This window comes from Homo sapiens, chromosome 19, assembly GCF_000001405.40.
Source record: "Homo sapiens chromosome 19, GRCh38.p14 Primary Assembly".
NCBI classification, from domain to species: domain Eukaryota; kingdom Metazoa; phylum Chordata; class Mammalia; order Primates; family Hominidae; genus Homo; species Homo sapiens.
In genome coordinates this window covers 7,186,445-7,209,834 of record NC_000019.10, presented here as the reverse complement: position 1 = coordinate 7,209,834, position 23,390 = coordinate 7,186,445, and the positions used below count along the sequence as shown (strand labels likewise).

Below are 23,390 nucleotides of genomic sequence, written 5' to 3'. Positions count from 1 at the left end.
GTGGATGAAATAGTATTCAAAGATGGGGGTGGTGCAAATGTTCTGTATTTCAACCTGTACATTAGTCAAGTGTTATTTTTACCCTCATGTACATCTATTATGGAATAAAATACATGACTTTGGCCAGGCGTCATGGCTCACACCTGTAATCCCAGCACTTTGGGAGGCTGAGACGGGAGGATCGCTTGAATCCAGGAGTTCGAGACCAGCCTGGGCAGCATAGCAAGACCCCTTCTCTAAAAAAAAAAAATTAGCTGGGCATGGTGGTGTGTGCCTATAATCCCAGTTACTCGAGAGGCTGAGGCAGGAGGATCAGTTAAGCCTGGGAAGTCGAGGCTGCAGAGAGCTGTGATAGGCAGCCTGGGTGACAGAGAAAGACCCTGTCTCAAAACAAAAAACAAAACAAAACATGACTTTTATGGAGTTGAGCTCAACGTTTGCATACACATGAGGAGCAGAAGCTGGAGGTTTCAAATAAATATCTGGCTTCTGCAGGCTGCCTGGAGAGAGGTGAGAGCGATGCATTGGTCACCCAGCCTGGAGTGCAGTGGTGTGATCACAGCTCACTGCAGCCTTGACCTTCTGGGCACAAGCAATCCTCCTGCTTCAGCTTCCTGAGTAGCTGGGACCACAGGTGTGTGCCACTATGCCCAGCTAATTTTATTTATTTATTTAGAGATGGAATCTTGCTCTGTCGCCCAGGCTGGAATGCAGTGGCACAATCTTGGCTCACTGCAACCTCTGCCTCCTGGGTTCAAGCAGTTCCCATGCCTCAGCCTCCTGAGTAGCTGGGATCACAGGCATGTGCCACTATGCCCAGCTAATTTTTTTTTTTAATGGAGTCTTGCTCTGTTGCCAGGCTGGAATGCAGTGGCGCCATCTTGGCTCACTGCAACTTCCAACTCCCCTGTTCAAGCGATTCTCCTGCTTCTGCCTCTCGAGTAGCTGGGATTACAGGCACGCGCCACCATGCCCAGCTAATTTTTGTATTTTTAGTAGAGAGGGGGTTTCGCATGTTGGCCAGGATGGTCTCGATTTCCTGACCTCGTGATCCGCCCACTTCGGCCTCCCAAAGTGCTGGGATTACAGGCGTGAGCCACTGCGCCCAGCCTAATTTTTGTACCCCTAGCCGAGACAGGGTTTTGCCATGTTATCTAAGCTGGTCTCGAGCTCCTGGGCTCAAGCGATCCACCCGCCTGGGCCTCCCAAAGTGCTGGGATTACAGGTGTGAGCCACTGCGCCCGGCCACAGCTGTTGTTTTCTCACTGGCTTGAGAATTGTTCTCTTAAGCTGGTCAAGGTTATGACGGTTTGTGTGGCCTGTGCACGTGTGTGTGGTCAAATCCCATTTTTCTAAAGCAAAGTTTCTATTTGGGTATCTGCTGTTTAATTTTTCAGGGATTTTTTTTTTCCGGTTGCTAAGGAAAGTACATTAAATTTTATCTTTGTATCCTGTAGAACTCTTTGTGAATAATACACGGCCAGAGGGAAGATAGGCTGAGGAAACAGATAGGAAGGAAGTTCAAGGGGGGGATTTCTATGTGAGAACCAAGAAACACCTTTGATCTTTAGATTTCAAAGTGGGAAGTTCAAGGTGAGGTGGGCGTGGAATTAGGAGTAAACCCAAGAAGAGCGAGTGGGCGGTTCCTCCTGGCAGCCACAGAATAGTTACGTGGCATGAGGTCAGTAGCATCTCAGAGGGTGTTGTTGTCTTTGACTTAGATGAGTTCCAAGAAGCAGAAGTTCGTGAGCCAAACACGAGGTGGTTTTCTGGGGGGTACAAGGGCTGGAAGAGGGGCCAGCTCTTAACCACAAATCCCTTTCCATGCCCAAGGCCAAGCTCCTTGTAACTCTTTTCTTTCTTTGCCTCCCTCCCTCCCTCCCTCCCTCCTTCCCTTCCTTCCTTCCTTCCTTCCTTCCTTCCTTCCTTCCTTTCCTTCCTTCCTTCTCAAACAAGGTCTCACTCTATCACCCAGGCTAGAGTGCAACGGCACAGTCATAGCTCATTGCAGCCTCAAACCCCTGTGCTCAAGTGATCCTCCTGCCTCAGGCCCTCAAGTAGTTTTTAAACTTGTTTGTAGAGATGGGTCTTGCTATATTGCCCAGGCTTGTCTCGAACTTCTGGTCTTAAGCGATCCTCCTGCCTCAGCCTCCCAAAGTGCTGGGATTACAGGTGTGAGCCACTGGCCCGGCCCATTCTCCTTTCTTTAGCCAGGCTAGGGAGACATAAGTGGGGAAACTCATGTTGTTTTTTGAGATGGTTGCTTTATTCTCGTGATATTTTCCCTCTTTCCAACTTCCTTGAGCCCTCCCCAGCCTCCTCTTAGTGTCTGTGTGTGGGTGAGGGGGCTTTGGTATACCTTCTGCTTTGGGTCTCATTCATTTTAATTTTTTATTTTGTTTTGTTTTGTTTTGTTTTGAGATGGAGTCTCACTCTGTTGCCCAGGCTGGAGTGCAGTGGCACCATCTTGGCTCACTGCAACCTCTGCCTCCCGGGTTCAAGCGATTCTCCTGCCTCAGCCTCCCGAGCAGCTGGGGATTACAGGTGCATGCCACCATGCCTGGCTAATTTTTCTATTTTTAGCAGAGACAAGGTTTCACCATGTTGGCCAGGCTGGTCTCGAACTCCCGACCTCAGGTGATCTGCTTGCCTCAGCCTCCCAAAGTGCTGGGGTTACAGGCGTGAACCACCGTGCCTGGCCACGGGTCTCATTCATTTTAGTTGGAGCCCAAATTCACTGGTGGTTCAAGTTCCCAATCATTCTCGGCATTCTATAATCACAGGCCTCAGAGAGTAATGCTCCCAATGGCCCTCAAATTATGGTTTCCTTAGGAGGCTATTAAATCTTGATTTCTGAGAGGAAAATTGGGGATTTTGTGTTTTCCCTTTTAGACTTGAGTGTTCTGTTACTGTGGATGAGCTCTTCTAGAAACTTCCAAGCAGTTTCAAAGGGGATTTAGATGTCATCAGGAAGTGTGGTTGACAACGTGATATTTGGGCTTTAGAAAAACAGCGTGTCACCCGTTTTATTTATTCCTTGATGACTCTTTTTTTGTTTGTTTTTGTTGTGGTCGTTGTTGTTGAGACAGGGTCTCACTCTGCCACCCAGGCTGGACTGCACTGGTGCAATCTCTGTTCACTGAAACCTCCTCCTCCTGGGTTCTTGCAAATAGACAGTCCCATTTGGTGGTGACGGGAGACAGTGACAGATCATCAAGCATTAGATTCTCATAAAGAGCGTGCAACCCAGATCCCTCGCATGCACAGTTCACAATAGGGTTCACGCTCCTAGGAGAATCTAATGCTGCTGCTGATCTGACAGGAGGCGCAGCTCAGATGGTCATGCAAGCAATGAGGAGTGACTGTAAATACAGATGAAGCTTCCATCGCTCGCCCGCCCCTCGTCCACTGCTGTGCAGCCTGGTTCCTAACTGGCTGGTTTGAAACTAGACTGGGCAACATGGCCAAACCCCGTCTGCTCAAAAAATACCAAAATTAGCTGAGTGTGGATCACAAGTGTGTGCCTGTAGTCCCAGCTACTTGGGAGGCTGAGGTGGGAAGATTGAGTGAGCCCAAGAGGTAGAAGCTGCAGTGAGCTATGATCACACCCACTGCACTCCAGCCTGGGTTACAGAATGAGATTCTGTCTCTCAACTCCCTGAGGGGTGGGGGACCCCTGGTTTAATCCATCCAACCCTCTCTTCCCATGAAATAAAGGAAGTTGTGAGTGCTATTTTGTGCGTCATCCCCTCCAGTATTCAAGTCAGCCCAAGGTACTTCGATGGTTCCCGTCTGCACATGGGGAAACCGAGGCACAGAAAGCAGACTCATGTGACCAGGAAGTAGCTGTGTCTGCTCGAAACTCAGGTCGACCTGATACCATAAGTCCTTGCACTCCACGTGCTGGCTATTGAAGCTGTGGCTCGCAGGTCTGATGGGAGAGCCTCAGACAGTGTCTCACTCTGTCACCCAGGCTGGAGTGCTGTCATGCAGTCATAACCCACTGCAGCTTTGACCTCCTGGGCTAATTGATCCTCCCACCTCAGCCTCCCGAATAGCTGGGACTACAGGTGTGCACCACAATGCCCACCTAATTTTTGTATTATCTGTAGAGATGGGCGTGGGGGGTGTGAGGGGTCTTGCCATGTTGCCCAGGCTGGTCTTGAACTCCTGACCTCAGGTGATCCTCCAGCTTCAGCCTCCCAAAGTATCGGGATTACAGGCATGAGAGAGCCACTGCAGGAAGCCAAGAGAGCAGATTTGGACAATGTAGAATTTCTCCACGCTCCTCCTACTGTCCCCATCTTAGGCCTGGCTACTGCGGGACTGACAGGCATGGCTGGCTGTCCATCCGTTCCTTAGTTTGATTGCATGGCAGACATGAGGAAGGAAGGTGAGAACTGAGCTAGAAAGTTGGCATTTGGTGCTCTGGTTTCTCAATGCAAGAAAGTAACACTTTGGCTTTTATAGAATAACCTTCTGAGGAAATTAACAACCCGGGCGTTTCAGCCCCCTGTGAACTTGATTGGAGCATGGTCACAATTTGTAACGAAATGTGCTTGCATGCCCAGTGCTAAAGATTTCTCTCTGTCTACCCTCTAGGCTGTGGAAAGGTCTGTTCTAACCATTAGCTTGTATCTGGAGCTCAGATGGTGCCGGACACTCCGTAGGAGCTCAGATCTGTTGATAGAAGCCACTAGAGAATGGGACAAGCAACAGGAGGTGTTTTGCTGCCTAGTAAACTTTTTTTGAGATGAAGTTTCACTTTTGTTGCCCAAGCTGGAGTGCAGTGGTGCCTTCTCGGCTCACCGCAACCTCTGCCTCCTGGCTTCAAGCGATTCTCCTGCCTCAGCCTCCCAAGCAGCTGGGATGACAGGCACCCGCCACCATGCCCGGCTAATTTTTTTTGTATATTTAGTAGAAATGAGGTTTTGCCATGTTGGCCAGGCTGGTCTCGAGTTCCTGACCTCAAGTGCTCTGCCCGCCTCGGCCTCCCAAAGTGCTGGGATTACAGGCGTGAGCCACTGCGCCCGGCTCTACCCATCTTTCTTACATGATGATGTTCAGCAGCCAGCCTGATAGGGGAGCATTGTTTGTCCTTTTTTTCCTTATTGCATTTTCCCCGCATAGGTGCCAGGGCTCAGTAGCATAAATCCAGGTAGAACTGGGAAGTTCCAGGTATCTGGGCTGTTTGCTCTGGTGGACAAAGAGCAGCTGCAAGGTGGGTCTTGATTAGCCAGTGAAGTCTGAGGATCCAGAGGGAAACTTATTCCTTTCTTTTGTTGAAATCAACATGAGCAGGAAATGGATCTTTCCCCCAATCAGAGAACTTCACATGTTTTTCTAATAGAATAGCAGTGTCTGAGGTATATACACGGGGAGTGGCCCCCCGGGAAAACGAGGCCATGAGGCTCCTGGCATGGAGATGACACACGAAGACTCTCGTAACTTATAGAGGGGAAAATAAAGCAGTCATTCCAGGCTGGGCATGGTGGCTCACGTCTGTAATCCCAGCACTTTGGGAGGCCGAGGCAGGTGGATCACCTGAGGTCAGGAGTTCGAGACCAGCCTGGCCAACATGGTGAAACCCCAACTCTACTAAAAATAAAAAATTAAAAAAAAAAATTAGTTGGGCATGGTGCTGGGCACCTGTAATCCCAGCTACTCAGGAGGCTGAGGCAGGAGAATTGCTTGAACCCGGGAGGCAGAGATTGCAGTGAGCCGGGAGCCTGTAATCCCAGCTACTCAGGAGGCTGAGGCAGGAGAATTGCTTGAACCCGGGAGGCAGAGATTGCAGTGAGCCGGGAGCCTGTAATCCCAGCTACTCAGGAGGCTGAGGCAGGAGAATTCCTTGAACCTGGGAGGCAGAGATTGCAGTGAGCCAAGATCACACCACTGCACTCCAGCCTGGGTGACAAGAGTGAAACTCCATCTGAAATAAAATAAAATATAAAAGTTAAAGCAGTCATCCTGGCTTTTAGGAACCCGCAGAATCAGGAGGTAAGCTAAAAGTCGTCTCCCTTTTGTCACGATGGAATGTGAAATAGGTGCATTTTCCTTCTGACTTATGATTCTGTTTCACGGTGCCTCTGCAGAAATTCAGTACGTCCCCATGGGCACCTGTGTCCTTCAGGAGTTGAGGAAATTTTCTCCATTCCTTGTCCCTGTCCCTAGACTCTGCCAGCTCGTGCATGTAGAAGCTCCCGGGAAAACTGTCAACCTGTGCACATTCAAGACCGCCATATACTTGTTATTGAAAAGCCATCAGTCATGTGAGCAGAACTTTTTTATGGTTGAGATTGTCCCCAGGGAAACCCGCCTTGCAATTCAGACCTTCCACGGAGATCGATTCCAAACTCTCATCCCGTTCCCACTTCCTCGTTCCCATGGAGGCTGCGGTTCTCTCTCTCTGTGCCGCTTACAGATTGTCATACCTATTTCCAAAAATGACACAGAAAACTTCAACGTGTGGCTAAATTTGAACAGAGAAAAATAAGCAAAGAATTCAAGGCGCGAGGCGTTTTCAGGGAGAGAGGGAGAGCTTTTGCATGGTTTGAAGGGATGATCTTTAATGAGTTGAGGGTCACCTAGAATAGAATTAAACTGTAGAGAGCAAATTGTTGGAAATGCAAGGAGAAACTTCGGAGAAGACTCCAACACAGCCTGGATCTGGGAGATGAGACTCAGGTAACAAAAAGTTTGAATAACATGGTTAATAAGATTGTGGTAACAGATAGGACTGAACTTTGCACTCTGCAAACAATATACATTTTAAAGTGCTCTTGGAATAGTTAGAAAAATCAATCATCTGTTAAATCTGAAAAAAAAAAAAAAAAAACAACAAAACCCCACCCCAAACCAATACATTCCAAAAAAGCAGACATTGTACGGGTTCTAATCTCTGGCTGCAAGTAAGCATAACTGGAATTAATTTTTAAAAGCTTAACTGAACAAGCATGTAAGAGAGACTCCTACCACTTGATAATTAAAAAGAAAATGAAAACCAAAAAAACAAAAACAAAAAAACCGAAAAGGGCTGGGCACCATGGCTCACGCCTGTAATCCCAGCACTTTGGGAGGCCGAGGCGAGCGGATCACCTGAGGTCAGGAGTTCGAGACCAGCCTGGCCAACATGGTGAAACCCCGTCTCTACTAAAAGTACAAAAATTAGCTGAGGGTGGTGGCGCATACCCTGTAATCCTAGCTACTTGGGAGGCTGAGGCAGGAGAACCGCTTGAACCCCGGGGGCAGAGGTTGCAGTGAGCCGAGATGGTGCCATTGGACTCTTCTAGCCTGGGCAACAAGAGCTAACCTCCATCTCAAAAAAACAAAAAACACAAAACAAAACAAAAAAACAACCAACCCCTAAGTCTTAAGTTGGAGGATCGAAACACTGCAAGGATAGACTATTTGAAGATGACAATGATGTGAACATGGAGACAAAGGCAGAGGTTTAAATGATTATAGAGGAAATTTGCTTGATAATTTATTATATGAATATAGAGAGAAATCACAAAAATGAGATGATGAATATTGGAAATAATAAGCACAGACGAACTGATTAGAAAACAAATAGAACTGACAAAATCAAAAAGCTGGATCTTTTAGAGAGATGCTGCTCAGTAGGGTGGCCACAACCCACGTGAAAATTAAATTAAAAATTCATTTTCTCAGTCGCACGAGCCAAGTTTCCACTGCTTAGGGGCCATGTATGGTTAGTGACTACTGAAATGGATAGAACAGATACAGAACTTTTCCATAGCTGCTGAACGTTTGTTGGACAGTGCTGTTTTAGAGGGAGGAATCAATAAAACAGAAAAACTAAGACAAAGGAGGGGGAGAGAACAAATATTGTAGATAAAATTAAGAATGAAGGCCTAGCGCGGTGGCTCACGCCTGTAATCCCAACACTTTGGGAGGCCGAGGCGGGTGGATCACGAGGTCAGGAGATCGAAACCATCCTGGTTAACACGGTGAAACCCCGTCTCTACTAAAAATACAAAAAATTAGCTAGGCGTGGTGGCCGCGCCTGTAGTCCCAGCTACTTGGGAGGCTGAGGCAGGGGAATGGCGTGAACCCGGGAGGGGGAGCTTGCCGTGAGCCGAGATCGCGCCACTGCACTCCAGCCTGGGCGACAGAGTGAGACTCCAACTCAAAAAAAAAAAAAGAATGAAAATAGATGTAATTTATTTATTATTGATTGATTGATTGAGACAGAGTCTCACTTGGTCGCCCAGGCTGGAGTGCAGTGGTACAATCTCAGCTCACTGTAACCTCTGCCTCCAGGGTTCAAGCGATTCTCCTGCCTCAGCCTCCCGAGTAGCTGGGATTACAGGCGCCCACCACCACACCCAGCTAATTTTTGTATTTTTAGTAGAGAAGTGATTTCACCCTGTTGGCCAGGCTGGTCTTGAACTCCTGACTTCAGGTGATACACCCGCCTCGGCCTCCCAAAGTGCTGGGATTAAAAACAGATGTCATTTAAATCCATAAAAAATTGTAAAGACAGCTCTACTAACAATTTTGGAAATATTAAAAATAACTTCATTTACTGATTCAAGTGTTACTTTTATTTAGCTTAATTGTTTCTCTTTACCAGAAATTGAGGCTCTGAATTTGCCCCAGAGAATGGGTATGCCATTCTCTCTCATAAGCTGTACTCTCTTATTATCAGTAATTTCTAAATAGCCTGTAAAATTTATATGGACTCAAAATGCAGGAAACATCAATAGGTTGAAACTCAACAACTTGTAAAAAGTTACTCCTGTACTTAATTGCATAAAATGTGTATTGCCTACATGAATGAGAATAAAAACTTCCAAAATGCCCCCAACAAACAGGGGTTTTTGCACCTTGCCATGAGTAGCTTTCTGGAGCAAGCCGGAGTGGTTAGAGCTGTGACTCGGCAACCACAAACACAACCATTTTTGTGTGGAAGTGTGGCTCTTCAGCCTTTTTTTTTTTTTTTTTTTTTTGAGATAAGGTCTCACTCTGTTACCCAGGCTGGAGTGCAGTGGCGTGATCCTAGCTCACTGCAGCCTCAACTTCCTGGACTCGAGCAATCCTTCTGCCTCAGCTTCCCAAGTAGCTGGAACTACAATCATGTGTCATCATGCCCAGCTAAGTTTTATTTTTTTTAATCTTTAATTTTTTTAAGAAATAGAGATGAGGTCTTGCTATGTTGCCCAGGCTGGTCTTGAACTCCTAGGCTCAAGCAATCCTCCTGCCTCAGCCTCCCCATTAGCTGGAACTACACTTGTGTATCATCATGCCCAGCTAATTTTTAATTTTTTATTTATTATTTTTTTAAAGAGATAAGGTCTTGCTCTGTTGCCCAGGCTGGTCTTGAACTCCTAGGCTCCAGCAATCCTCCCACCTCAGCCTCCAAAGTGCAGCCTCTATATCTTGAACTCCACACCTCAAACCCAGATTGTCCACATGTGAGCACCTGTCTTTTTGGTTTGCTGTTTCTCTCGTGAGTTGTATCCAGTTGCCCAAGGTGGAAAGTTGGGCGTCATCCAGCAGGTAAGTCCTGACACCTCCACCTCCCCGATGGCTTCAGAAGCCAGCCTCTTCTTTTCTGTTTCCTCTGCCTCTCAACTTCCTCATCCATCTACCATAAGCCAGAAAAATGACCCCCAAATGTGAATCCGATGGTGTTCTTTCTGCCTGACATCTTTCTTTGGCTTCTGCTGTGGGGTAAAGTCCAAGCCCCTTGGTTCCCTGTCTTTCCTCTCTGGTCTAATCTTCTATTCCTCTCATCCTGTACTTTGCCCTTCATCAACTCTGAACTGTTTATAGTTCTCTGAACATAGCCCGAGTGATTCACACATTTGCATGTACTGTTCCTCTCCTGCTGTGATAAAGGGACAGTCACCTAATCCCCGCCCCTCCGTTGCATTTTTTTTTTCCTACAAGATTTATTATGCACCTACTGTGTGTATGGCTCTGGGATGCTGTAATAAGCAAGACAGACACATCTTTCCCTTCACGGGGCGTATGTGTCTCGTGCATACTGGGAGGGCAGGGACAGGGTCTCCATTCATTTCTGCATTCCAATGCCAAGAGGGTGTCAGATCTGGGTGGGTCGAGGTAGGGAACAGGTAAACATAACTCACAGTGTGATGCCGTGTTACAGCCAGGCTGGGTTCCTCACGCCTGTGATGGCAGCGCTTTGGGGAGCCAAAGTGGGAGGATTGCTTGAAGCCAGGAGTTTGAGACCAGCCTAGGCAACATAGAGAGACCCGCTCTCAAAAAAAAAAAAAAAAAAAAAAGCTGTCGCAGTGGCACTCTCCTGTAGTCCTAGCTCCTTGGGAGGCTGAAGCGGAAGGATCACTTGAGCCCAGGAGTCCTAGACTGCAGTGAGCTATGATGGCTCCATTGCACTCCAGCCTGGGCCACAGAGTAAGACCCTGTTTCAAACAAACAAACAAATTTAAAAAATCAAACAAACTCCCACTCCCCCAAACTCCATACCACACCCTCTCCTGGTCTCTCTGGGAGACCTGGATTCGAGTTCTGGCAGAGCTGGTTATTGGCAAAGTAGCCCCTCTATGCCTCGGTTTCTCCAATTCTAATGGTGATGATTGCTTGAATAATTGAGTTAATATGACCTCATTGATGGATTGGACCGTGTGTGCTGCAAACAGATTACACACTTTAAAGTGTATTCATGCCTGTAATCCCAACACTTTGGTAGACTGAGGCAAGAGGATCACTTGAGGCCAGGAGTTCTAAACCAGCCTGGGCAACGAGTCCCCATGTCTACAAAAAAATAGAAAAAATTAGCCAGGCATAGTGATGCACGCCTGTAGTCCCAGCTACTCGGGAGGCTGAGGTGGGAGGATGGCTTGAGCCCAGGAGTTTGAGGCTGCAGTGGGCGATGATCACACCACTGCACTCCAGCCTGAGGCGACAGAGTGAGACCCCCCCCCCAAAAAAAGTGTATTTATGGGGGTGAATGTTAAATGAGAATGTCCACTCGCTGCCTTGGTTTACTGGAACTGCAAATTCAATGGGGACACACAAGTTTTCAAATGCATGCGGAATACTGGCTGGAGGTTACCCCAAAAACGTAGCCTGTGGATTTTAAGAATGTATTTATGAGTATGGTTCTCGTTTTCTGGGTGAGTGGTGGGTGAGAATAGAGGGTGCACTGGCCCGGCGAGTTCGGAGATGCGGACCCTCCCCCCCTGCAATGTGAGGAATTTTGCTGTGTGACCCTAGTGAGCCGCTGCACCTTTCTGGACCCCTCCCGAGGGAGGCCTGGGGTCAGGGGGCCCCTCGGCAGTCCCGGGAGCTGCCACGCGGTGACCCGATCTCCTCCCGGGCACACGCCCAGCGCCGCGCGCAGCCTAAGCCACCCCGGTGGATGCTTGATGAGCCCTTGCAAGCTCGGTTTCTCCTTTTCCCTAGCTTTTTCCAAAGTTCCATCCGTGGCAGACTCGACCTGCGGGGTCTGCAGCCACGAGGGGCCCTCCCAGGGCGCCCTTTCCTCTGGCCGGGACCGCCCGGCGGCGGCCACTGCCCGAGCGCCAGTCTGGGGAGCGGAGCCCGGCGCACCCGGGGGGCGGGGCCAGCGCCCCTGCAGCACGCCCGCCCATTGGCTGAGCGCGAGGGCGGCGCTGCGGCCGCCGCAACCGCCGGGGCCGGATTCCCCGGAGCGGAGTGCGCCCCGGGCTTTGTGCTGCGCTGAGGCCTCCGGCTCGAGGGGGCGGAGCCTTGAGCGCCTAGGGCTCCCTCCCTCGCCCCCATGGGCACACACGCAGACACGGGCACACACGCAGACACACACACACGCCCATCATGGACACACACACACGCTCGCCCACCATGGACACACACACACTCCCACCATGGGGACACACACACACTCCCACCATGGGGACACACACACACACACACACACACACACACTCTCACTCTGGAACCGACCAATCCTGGGGCTGCACAGACACACACGCGCACACACTCTCTCTCGTTCTCTCTCTCTCTCTCTCGTTCTCTCTCTCTCTCGCTCTCTCTCCCACTCTGGAACCGACCAATCCTGGGGACACACACACACACACACACACACTCCCACTCTGGAACCTGCCAATCACACACACACACACACTCCCACTCTGGAACCTGCCAAACACACACACACACTCCCACTCTGGAACCTGCCAAACACACACACACACTCCCACTCTGGAACCTGCCAAACACACACACACTCCCACTCTGGAATCTGACACACACACACACACACACACCCAAACACACACACTCCCACTCTGGAACCTGACACACACACACACACACACACACACACACCCCCACTCCCACTCTGGAACCTGCCAATCCTGGGGCTGCTCTAGCGAGGAGACCCCTGGGACCCCGCCTCCTTCCGGGCCTCTGCGTGCGCAGTATATCTCCTAAGAGATCCGCAGCATGGAGAGGGCCCGCCCCCGTGGACGGACTCACTCCCTCCCCACTCACTCACTCACTCGCTTACTCACTCACTCACTCTCTCTCCGAAGAGAAGAAGCCTGCGGCTCCCGAAGCGGGAAGGCCCTCTGGTACTCTGTTCCCTTTCTAGCCTCTATATGCGCCGTATGTCTCCAAAGAGCTGCGCAGTTCTATTCCAAAGGCGTCATCGCGTGTGGGGCGGTATTGTCAGGCAAGGAAAAGGGGCGCTTCCCCGCTTCAAGGACACGCGCTCCTGCGGTCGTCGCTGCTGACCACGAAGCTGTCAAAAGTTCACCTCCTTGGCTGCCCCCAACCCCTGCCCCTTTGCCATTAAATCATTTACTAGATTCCAACTAGAGGAATTTGGCTCCGGGGACTCGAACCTCTGAGGTCAGGGTCTGGGGCCAGTGTGGGAGAGAAAGGCCTTGAATGGAAACAAAATAAATTACTTTAAGGAGTTTATAAAACTCACACTTATAGGGAGAGCCGCGGGGCCCTGTGGTCAATGTACCAGCAGGCCCATGACGCAACTGTTCCGTTTGGAAATTTCTGGAAAGCAGTAATTTTTGGAATCATAAATCTTGAGTATTTTTTTTTTAAACTTTGGAAAGGTTTTTAAACTTTTTTTTTTTAAGTTTTTTTTAAACTTCGGAAAGTTTTAAGCTTTGGAAAGAATGTAACAAAATGTTATTAACATATGTGGAGCTATCGAATCATTTAATGGTGGTTTCTGTATTTTCTGTTTTGTTTTTTATCACATACCTTCTTAATTAAGAAAAACCCAAACTAATTTGAACTTTAAAAGGGAGGCAAACAAAAAAGTGTCAGAGTGACTGGATTTTTGTGCGCAAGTCATTTAACAATGCAGCGCTGCGTCTCCTATTTCTCTGGCTTTTAACCTTGCTTTGGACAAATTGGTCGCTTTTTGTTTTGATGTCGTTTCAAGCTTACGGAAAAATTGCAAGATTATATCTAGATCAATCAATTGTTTACGTTTTATTCTACTTGTTTTATTACCTTTCTAATATATTTATGCACACACATTATATACATTTTTTTCCCCTGAACTATTTGAGAGTTAGTTGCAGGCATGATACATACTCCTTAATTCTTCAGTGGATATTTCCTAAGAACAAGAAAGTTCTGAGGCCAGGCGTGGTGGCTCATGCCTGTAATCCCAGCACTTTGGGAAGCTGAGGCGGGCGGATCACCTGAGGTCAGGAGTTCGAGACCAGCCTGACCAACTTGGAGAAGCCCCGTCTCTACTAAAAATACAAAATTAGCCAGGCGTGGTGGCACATGCCTGTAATCCCAGCTACTCGGGAGGCTGAGGCAGGAGGTTCGCTTGAACCTGGGAGGCAGAGGTTGCAGTGAGCCGAGATGGTGCCATTGCACTCCAGCCTGGGCAACAAGAGCGAAACTCCGTCTCAAACAAAAAAAAAAAAAAAAAGAAAGAAAAGAAAGAAAGTTCTCTTACATAATGATGGTACTGGTGCCGTTGTCAAAATCAGGAAATTAACATTGATACAGTATTTTAATCCAATGTCTTCTATAATCTTATCTGTTGTCTCAATATTGCCCTATATAGATTTTTTTTCCTAGGCGAAGGTTCCAATCTAGGATCACACTTTGCATTTGAATGCTGCTGTCTCTTAAGTCCGCACAATTCCTCAGTTTTCTGTGTCTTTCCCAACATTGGCTTTTATTTATTTATTTATTTATTTATTTTTATTTTTTTTTGAGGCGGAGTCTTACTCTGTCACCCAGGCTAGAGTGCAGTGGTGAGATCTTGGCTGACTGCAACCTCTGTCTCCTGGGTTCAAGTGATTCTCCTGCCTCAGCCCCCAAGTAGCCGGGATTACAGGCATGCGCCACCACACCCAGCTAATTTTTGTGTTTTTAGTAGAGAAAGGGTTTCACCATGTTGGCCAGGCTGGTCTCGAACTCCTGATCTCCAGTGATCTTCCTGCCTCAGCCTCCCAAAGTGCTGGGATTACACGTGTTAGCCACCACACCTGGCCAACATTGGCAGTTTTGAAGAGCACAGGCCAGTTATTTTATCGAATGACCTCAAGCTAGGGTTAGTAATATATGGAAAGAAAGCTACACAAATATTTTGTCTTTTTCATTGCCTCATAATGGGAAGTACGTGTTGTTGCCTTGTCCCACTATTGTGGGCAATGTTACTTGAAGTATTTTTAACTAGAATTTTTAAGAAGAAATACATTTCCCGTAAGGCTCAGTACCCAAGACATGCATATACCTGAATGAAAAGTTTCCCACAACAAGATTTACTCTTGCCATTTTCTAGTACTGTGGGATTTTTTCCTTTTCTTTTCCCCCTGCAGGAGGGGATGCTGCTGGGGGCTGAGGACAATGCTAAACCTGGATGTCTCGAGGACAGGGGATGGGGTTTTTGTGTCATCTATGTTCTGATGCTTTTTCATTTAATACGAGAACAGGTTTCCTATGATTTGGCACACTGGGACATTCGACATGTGTTTGTTGAATGAAAAAAAGAAAAAAGAGAAATGCTAACAATTTGTTGAATAGTCCATAAAAGAGCAAAGCTGGCCTGGCGCGGTGGCTCACACCTGTACCAGCACTTTAAGAGGCCAAGGCAGACGGAGGTCACGTGTTTGAGACCAGCCTGGCCAACATGGTGAAACCGCTTCTCCACTAAAAAAAAAAAAAAAAAAAAAATCAGTTGGTGTGGTGGCGTGTGCCTGTAATCCCAGCTACTCAGGAGGCTGAGGCAGGAGAATCGCTTGAACCCAGGACATGGGGGTTACAGTGAGCCAAGATTGCACCACTGCACTCCAGCCTGGGTGACAGAAAGAGATTTTGTCTCAAAAAAAAAAAAAAAAAAAAAAGCAAAGCTATTATTAAAACACACTCCACACTTCACCCCTGAGCCCCATATTGATTTTGTAATAAGGCAAAGATAATTTTTTTTTCTTTTTTTGAGATGAAGTCTCATTCTGTCGTCCAGGCTGGAGTGCAGTGGCACGATCTTGGCTGACTGCAACGACTGCCTCCTGGGTTCAAGCAATTCTCCTGCCTCAGCCTCCCAAGTAGCTGGGATTATAGGTGCCTACCACCACGCCCAGCTAATTTTTGTATTTTGAATAGAGAGTGTTTCACCATGTTGGCCAGGCTGGTCTCGAACTCCTGACCTCAAGTGATCTTCCTGCATCAGCCTCCCAAAGTGCTGGGATTACAGGCGTGAGCCACCATGCCCAGCCAACAAAGATGATTTTAAGAGAACCTTTGTAAAAGCTCTCACCGATGCCTGTCATTATTAGAATATTTGGGAGTAGAATCATGTAACTGATCAATAACATTGTTTACTGTCTAGCAGAGGCTTTTGAAAAATGTATTTCCTGGCTGGGCATTGTGGCTTACGCCTATGCCCAGTTTGGGAGCTCGGGGAGAGCGGATCTCTTGAGCCTAGGAGTTCAAGACCAGCCTGGGCAATATTGTGAGACCTCATCTCTACCAAATGTATATATACATATACAAAAATTAGCCAAGCATGGTGGTGTACGCCTGTAGTCCCAGCTACTCAGGAGGCTGAGGTAGGAGGAGCACTTGAACCTGGGAGGCGGAGGTTACGGTGAACCAAGATCATGCCACTGCACTCCAGCCTGGGCGACAGAGTGAGACACTGTCTCTAAATAAATAAATGAAAGAAGAAGCTACTTGAAAAAAATATGTATTTCCAAATATATGTCAGTTTTGACAGGATAGTACACATACATAGTAAAAAATAAAAATAAAATAGGGCACTTTTTTGTGTCCCTTTCAGAGGGACATATGTCCCATGTGTCCTCCCCCCTCCTGCCCCTAATTTTTTTGTTTGTTTTTTTATGAGATGGAGTCTCACTCTGTCGCCAGGCTGGAGTGCAGTAGCGTGATCTCAGCTCACTGCAACTTCCGCTCCCCAGGTTCAGGTGATTTTCCTGCCTCAGCCTCCCATGTAGCTGAGACTACAGGTGCGCGACACCATGCTCAGCTAATTTTTATATTTTTCGTGGAGACGGAGTCTCACCATGTTGGTCAGGATGGTTTGGCTCTCCTGACCTCGTGATCCGCTCACCTTAGCCTCCCAGGCTTAGCCTCCTTAGCCTGCTGGGATTACAGGCATGAGCAGAAGAATCTCTTGAACCCGGGAGGCGGAGGTTGCAGTGAGCTGAGATCGTGCCACTGCACTCCAGCCTGAGGGACAAGAGTGAGACTCCATCTGGGGAAAAAAAAAAAAAGAAAAAAAAGAAATACTGCATCAAATTGCACTTGCCTCTTGGTGCAAGATTCGTTCCTTTGCTTTGAACTGCCTCCCTGAAGCAAATTGGTGTTTCTGTGACTCCCTCTGTCTAGGGAAGGGGTCCTTTAGTGGGGACATTGTCTTTCTTGGGGAGGGTCCACCAGAGGACTCTGACACAGCGGTCTCCTTTCTCCTCCGTCAACTTAGTTAGATTTTAGTCCCTGATCTTCTCAGCAGTGTATAGTGAAAAAGCCACCGCAGCTGAAAGTTTCAGGAAGATGATAGTTGCTTCTGTGTGCTCACCCAGGAGCTTTTGGGAGGTTTAGGGAGAACTGGGGGAAAATTGGGACCAGCAGCTCAATGTGGCTTTGAAGGGGAGACAGCGGATGGACACAGAACTTGCATTTTTGGAGAGGGGAGGTCTGGGTAGATGTTCCCTACATACACAGCAGCACTTGTGTGCAGGTGTGAGGGAGTGACAGCCCCCGGACGGTTTGGCATTTTCCTGCAAGTCTGCCATCTTGTCTGGCAGACATAGCCTGGGCTGCTGACTGTCCCTACCCCAAACCAGAATTTGGGCAGGAACGGACACTTGGGCTCATTACGTGTCAATGAGGGGGATCAGGTCAGGGGCACAGGGAGAGGAAAGTCAACCCCGTCCTCCACTGGGGCTGTTTCTCATCTTGCATGACACGTGGCTTTCATAATGTCTTCACTTTGCGGTCTCTCTCACCAGAAGAAGCTGCTGTTTTGTGGCTAGTTCATCTGTGTCATGCCCTTTCCCCAGCCTGGGCTGCCTGTGATTTTTTTCTTTTCTTTTCTTTTCTTTTCTTTTCTTTTCTTTTCTTTTCTTTTCTTTTCTTTTCTTCCCTCCCTCCCTTCCTTCTTTCTCTTTCTTTTCTTTCTCCTTTCTTTCTTTTTCTTTCTTTTTTCTTTTCTTTCTCTGTCTTTCTTTTTCTTTCTCTTTCTCTCTCTCTTATCTTTCTTCTTTCTCCCTCTTTCTTTTCTTTTTTCTCTTTCTGTATTCTTTCTTCTTTCTCTCTTTCTTTCCTTCTTTCTTTCTCCCTCCCTTCCTGCCTCTTTCTTTCTCTTTCTTTCTCCCTCTTCTTTCTTTCTCTCTCTCTCCCCTCCCTCCCTCCTTCCTTCCCTCCTTCTTTCTTTTTATCTCTCTCCTTCCTTCCTTCCTTCCCTCCTTCTTTCTGTCTTTCTCTTTCTTTTCTCTCTCTCCCTTCCTCCTTCCTTCCCTCCTTCTTTCACTCTCTCTTTCTTTTCTCTCTCTCTTCTTTTTAAAGATAGGGTCTTGCTTTATTGCCCAGGCTGGAGTGCAGTGGTGCAGTCACAGCTCACTGCAGCCTCAAACCCCTGGGCTGTAGCAATCCTCCCACCTCAGTCTCCCGAGTAGCTGGGACTATTGGTTTACGGGTGTGCACCATCACACCTGGCTAATTTTTTTATTTTTGTAGAGACAGGGGTCTGGCTATTTTGCCCAGGCTAGTCTTGAACTACTGGACTCAAGAGATCCTCCCGTGTTAGCCTCCCAAAGTGCCATTACATGCACAAGCCACTGCGCCTGGCAGGCTTGTGATTTTCATGTGGAGCTTTTCACATTCTGTCTAACAATCCGAGTTCAGAGGAACCAGTATGGGGAGCAAGAGTATGTGGAAACGTCCAGCACCAGTTTAGAGGACTCCCACTCAGCTAGGGGGTGCAGTGGCCACCCCGAGTGGCTTTTCTTTCTTTTCTTTCCCTCCTTCCCTCCCTCCCTCCCTCCTTTCTTTCTTTCTTTCTTTCTTTTTCTTTCTTTCTTTCTCTTTTCTTTTCTTTCTTTTTGAGACAGAGTCTCACTCTCTCTTCCAGCAGTGGCACAATCTCGGCTCACTGCAACCCCCGCCTCCCGGGTTCAAGCAATTCTGCTGTCTCAGCCTCCCAAGTAGCTGGGATTACAGGCACCTGCCACCACGCCTGTATAATTTTTGTATTTTTAGTAGAGATGGGGTTTCACCATGTCGGCCAGGCTGGTCTCGAACTCCTGACCTCAGGTGATCCACCTGCCACGGCCTCCCAAAGTGCTGGGATTACAGGCGTGAGCCACCGTTCCCAGCCTCTATTTTTTTAAAATTGACAAATAATAATTGTATATGTTACATATTTATGGGGTACCATGTGATGTTTTGATATCTGTTTACATTGTAGAATTACTAAGTCATGCCAATTTAAAAGCTATCACCTCACATACTTATCATTGTTTTATGGTTAAAAATATCTACATTTTTGGCAATTTTGAAATGTCCAGTGCACTATTACTTATTATAGCAACCATTGTGTCCAATACATAACTAAAGCTTATTTCTCCTAAGTGAAATTTTGTAGTTTGATCAACATCTCCCTACAGAGTTGGAAACACCTGGAATGAGCTTATAGTGTTCGAAGGATAGTCTTCAAAGAATTGGTTGGGCGCGGTGGCTCACGCCTGTAATCCCAGCACTTTGGGAGGCCAAGATGGGTGGATCCCGAGGTCAGGAGTTCAAGACCAGCCTGGCCAACGTGGTGAAACCCCATCTCTACTAAAAATACAAAAATTAGCTGGGCGTGATGACGGGCGCCTGTAATCCCAGCTACTCAGGAGGCTGAGGCAGAGAATTGCTTGAACCCGGGAGGCGGAGGTTGCAGTGAGCTGAGTTCTCACCATTGCACTTCAGCCTGGACAACAGAGTGAGACTCTGTCTCAAAAAAAAAAAAAAAAAAAAACCACCAAAGAACACAGGTCAGCATGTTTATTTAACCCATTAGTGAGGGAACAGCAGGATTATAAAGCCAAAACATGTATAGTCACTGAAATAAGAAGGCAGTGTTAGCTGTGAGGCTGCTTAATGTCCCATAGGACAATAAAACTGTAATCTTTGGGGATGATTTTTTTCTTTTTTTTTTCGGCAAGGAGAGATAGGATCTCACTCTGTTACCCAGGCTGGTCTCGAATGCCTGGGCTCAAGCAATCCTCCCGCCTCAGCCTCCCAAAGTGCTGGGATTACAGGCATGAGCCTCCATGCCCAGCTGAGAGTATCTTTTCTCTGAGATGAAAATAATTTGTAGCATATCTGTCTGTAAGTTAACTCTAATTTCCTTGAGTCTAGTTCCTAATAGAAATAGTAAAATCGGCCAGGCGTAGTGGGTCATGCCTATAATCCCAGCACTTTGGGAGGCCAAGGTGGGCAGATCACTTGAGGTCAGGAGTTCAAGACCAGACTGGCCAACATGCTGAAACCCAGTCTCTACTAAAAATACAAAAATTATCCAGGCATGGTTGTGGGTGCCTGTAATCCCAGCTACTCAGGAGGCTGAGGCAGGAGAATTGCTTGAACCTGGGACACAGAGTTTACAGTGAGCGGAGATGGCACCGCTGTACTTCAGCCTGGACAACAGAGCAAGACTCGGTTTCAAAAAAAAAAAAAAAAAGTAATAGTAAAATCAATTACAGGTACATTTAACTAGTGCAGGTTGATAAACTATCTGGCCCATCACTTGCTTTTATAAATAAAGTTTTATTGGACCTAGCCATGCCTCTTCATGTACATATGTCTGTGGCTGCTATCATGCCATCGTGGCAGAGTTGAGTAGTTTCAACCAACACCATATGTCCTGCAAAGCCTCAAGTATTTGCTTGTGGCCCTTTACAGAAAAAGTTGACCAACTCCTGTGCTGACAAATGAAATAGCTCAGATAGGCCTGTCAGCTAGGGCTCCAACACAGGATTGCAAAGTCTCGCAGCCTCTGGCCTTGTTTGCAATGGTTGGATAATTTTTCTTCCCATTGTCTAGGCCGGAAGGACTTATGTGTTTGAGAGGTTTGTGTTAGGCCATTGATGACGCCTCTTTTGAATGAAAGGGCTGACCCTCTGAAGTGGCTCCAGCCCAGGAAACAAGCCCCTTCCTCTTGTGTGTGTGTTTCCTTGCCAGAGTGCTGGAACTCCGTGGGTCCTGGATCATTGTTGTCTGCCTTGTATATTGCTTCCTTCAATTGAATTTCAGCCCTCAGGTTCCCACAGACAGATCAGTGTTAATGATGTTGATAATTATGATAATTATAGATACCCTCTGTAGTTAATTTCTATCAAGCCTAAAAATGTCTCTATCAAAGAATCTGATGTGTTACTGACGTCATCCTGTTTATTTCTTGCAACAGCCTTAAGAAGGAAGGAAGGGACTCTTATTAACAATCCCCCCTCCCTTTTTTTTTTTTTTTTTTTTTTTGAGATAGAGTCTCGCTCTGTCACCTAGGCTGGAGTTCAGTGGCACAATCTTGACTCACTGCAAACTCCTCTTGCGTTCAAGCGATTCTACTGCCTCAGCCTCCCGAGTAGCTGGGATTATAGGCAAGCACCACCACACCCGACTAATTTTTGTATTTTTAGTAGAGACGGGTTTCACCATGTTGGTCAGGCTGGTCGTCTTGAACTCCTGACCTCAAGTGGTCCACCCACCTCAGCCTCTCAAAGTGCTGGGATTACAAGCATCAGCCACTGTGCTTAGCCCTATTAGAACTTCCTAATATTCTTGTTTTTTTTTTTTTTTTGGACGGAGTCTCACTCTGTCAGCCAGCCTGGAGTGCAGTGGATCTCAGCTCACTGCAACCTCCACCTCCCAGGTTCAAGTGATTCTTGTGCCTCAGCCTTCTGAGTAGCTGAGTAGCTGGGATTACAGGCGCCCACCACCACGCCCAGCTAATTTCTGTATTTTTAGTAGAGTCGGGGTTTTACCATGTTGGCCAGGCTGGTCTTGAACTCCTGACCTCAAATAATCCACCCACCTCAGCCTCCCAAAGTGCTGGGATTATAGGTGTGAGCCCCCGCGCCCAGCCCCAAGATAATTTTCAAGAGTGATCCATGCCATAAGGAAAATGTAATGAGATAATGTGTTAGCTTATGAATGGAGCAGGAAGGGCGACTTCTGCTGGGGAAGTCAGGGAAGATCTGTGTAAGGACCTGAAGGATGCAAAGGAGCAAGTCACAAGGGGACAAGGGACCAGGGTGCTCCACCCAGAACAGCTTGTGCAAGGTCCTAAGGTAGGGCTGAGCCTGGGTGTGTGTGGGTGGGAGGTGCAGAAAGGAGGCCAGCCTGGGAGAAGAATTTAGCAAGACTGGCAGGGATTAGACCCCCCAAGGCCTGTAGGGAGTTGGCTTTTATTCTGTATGCCTGAACTGTCTCGTCTGGGAGACGGTAGTCATCTGTGGCTAGTAAACATTGGAATTGTGTCAGGCACAGTGGCTCATACTTGTAATCTCAGCACTTTGGGAGGCTGAGGTGGGAGGATCGCTTGAGCCAGGAGTTCGAGACCAGCCTGGGCAACATAGTGAGACCCCATTTCTACAAAAAATTAAACACTTAGCTGGGCGTGGTGGCGCATGTCCATTATTCCAGCTACCCAAGAGGCCGAGGTGGGAGGATCACCTGAGCCCAGGAGATTGAGGCTGCAGTGAACTGTCACTGTGTCACTGTACCCCAGAACCTAAGTGACAGAGCCAGACCCCATCACACACCCAAAAAAGAAATCGTTACACATTTTATCCATATGACAAAATATCACAAGTACCCCATAAATGTGTAAAATATTCTGTATCAATGTAAAACTTTTTAAAAATTTTAAACTGAAATTAAAATGAAATGCAGTTAAAAGTTTTGTTCCTTGGTAAAAATTGGAGCCCTGGTACACTGTTGGTGGGAATGTAAAATACTGCAGCTAGGCTGGGCACAGTGGCTCACACCTGTAATTCCAGTACTTTGGGGGGCCAGGGTGAGTGGATCACTTGAGGTCAGGAGTTCGAGACCAGCCTGGCCAACACGGTGAAACCCCGTCTCTACTAAAAATACAAAAAAATTAGCGGGGTGTGGTGGTGGGCACCTGTAATCCCAGCTACTCGAGGCTGAGGCAGGAGAATTCCTTGAACCCAGGAGGTGGAGGTTGCAGTGAGCCGAGATCGAGTCACTGCACTCCAGCCTGAGTGACAGAGTGAGACTCCATCTCAAAATAAATTTTTTAAAAAAGAATAAATCCTATATTATTCCACTTATATGAGGTTCCTAGAGTCATCAGAGTCACAGAGACAGAAAGTAAAATGGGATGTCGGGCGCAGTGGCTCACACCTGTAATCCCTGCACTTTGGGAGGCTGAGGCAGGAGGATCACGAGGTTAGGAGTTCAAGACCAGCCCGGCCAACATGGTGAAACCCCATCTCTACTAAAAATACAAAAATTAGCTGGGTGTGGTGGTGGGCGTCTGTAATCCCAGCTACTCTGGAGGCTGAGGCAGGAGAATCACTTGAACCCGGGAGGCAGAGGTTACAGTGAGCTGAGATCGCGCCACTGCACCCCAGCCTGGGCAACAAAGCAAGACTCCATCTCAAAAAATAAAAATAAAAAAAAAGAAAAGAAAAAGAAAGTAAAATGGCAGGTGCCAGGAGTTGGGGAGGAGGATGAGTGTGACTGTTTCATGGGGGCAGAGTTTCAGTTTGGTTAAGGTGAGAAAGTTCTGGAGATGGGTGGTGGTGATGGTTGCATAGCCACATAAAAGTATTTAATACCACTGAACTATACATTTAAACATGATTACAATGGTGAATTTTATGCTATGTGTATTTTACCACAATTAAAAAAAAAATTGGATTTCCTAGTTGCACTAA

General features: G+C 47.4%; 1 protein-coding gene and 1 long non-coding RNA gene across 5 annotated transcripts in view, besides 6 other annotated features; one reads left to right on the top strand and one right to left on the bottom strand.

Annotated features, from left to right (window-relative positions):
- INSR (insulin receptor) overlaps positions 1–23,390 on the top strand; it is a 182,150-nt gene that overhangs the window by 84,580 nt on the left and 74,180 nt on the right. The gene's annotated exons all lie outside the window — the stretch shown is intronic.
- On the bottom strand, positions 6,269–10,251 carry LOC124904626 (uncharacterized). The gene is made up of 2 exons (XR_007067111.1): positions 10,119–10,251; positions 6,269–6,434 (listed from the first exon to the last, which is right to left on the bottom strand). It is a non-coding gene; the product is annotated as an uncharacterized LOC124904626 (long non-coding RNA).
- Positions 11,190–11,819: a silencer, noted in NCBI's record as "silent region_9972". NCBI's record gives its function as "represses an Ori minimal core promoter by ATAC-STARR-seq in GM12878 lymphoblastoid cells {active_cell/tissue: GM12878}" and the evidence as "EXISTENCE:reporter gene assay evidence [ECO:0000049][PMID:35858748]".
- Positions 11,190–12,499: a biological region, named in NCBI's record as "H3K27ac hESC enhancer GRCh37_chr19:7197359-7198195".
- Positions 11,651–12,487: an enhancer, noted in NCBI's record as "H3K27ac hESC enhancer chr19:7197359-7198195 (GRCh37/hg19 assembly coordinates)". NCBI's record gives its function as "activates a minimal SCP1, AML or CMV promoter by ChIP-STARR-seq in naive H9 embryonic stem cells {active_cell/tissue: H9 hESC(naive)}" and the evidence as "EXISTENCE:reporter gene assay evidence [ECO:0000049][PMID:30033119]".
- Positions 12,300–12,499: an enhancer, noted in NCBI's record as "active region_13873". NCBI's record gives its function as "activates an Ori minimal core promoter by ATAC-STARR-seq in GM12878 lymphoblastoid cells {active_cell/tissue: GM12878}" and the evidence as "EXISTENCE:reporter gene assay evidence [ECO:0000049][PMID:35858748]".
- Positions 17,223–17,312: an enhancer, noted in NCBI's record as "active region_13872". NCBI's record gives its function as "activates an Ori minimal core promoter by ATAC-STARR-seq in GM12878 lymphoblastoid cells {active_cell/tissue: GM12878}" and the evidence as "EXISTENCE:reporter gene assay evidence [ECO:0000049][PMID:35858748]".
- Positions 17,363–17,452: an enhancer, noted in NCBI's record as "active region_13871". NCBI's record gives its function as "activates an Ori minimal core promoter by ATAC-STARR-seq in GM12878 lymphoblastoid cells {active_cell/tissue: GM12878}" and the evidence as "EXISTENCE:reporter gene assay evidence [ECO:0000049][PMID:35858748]".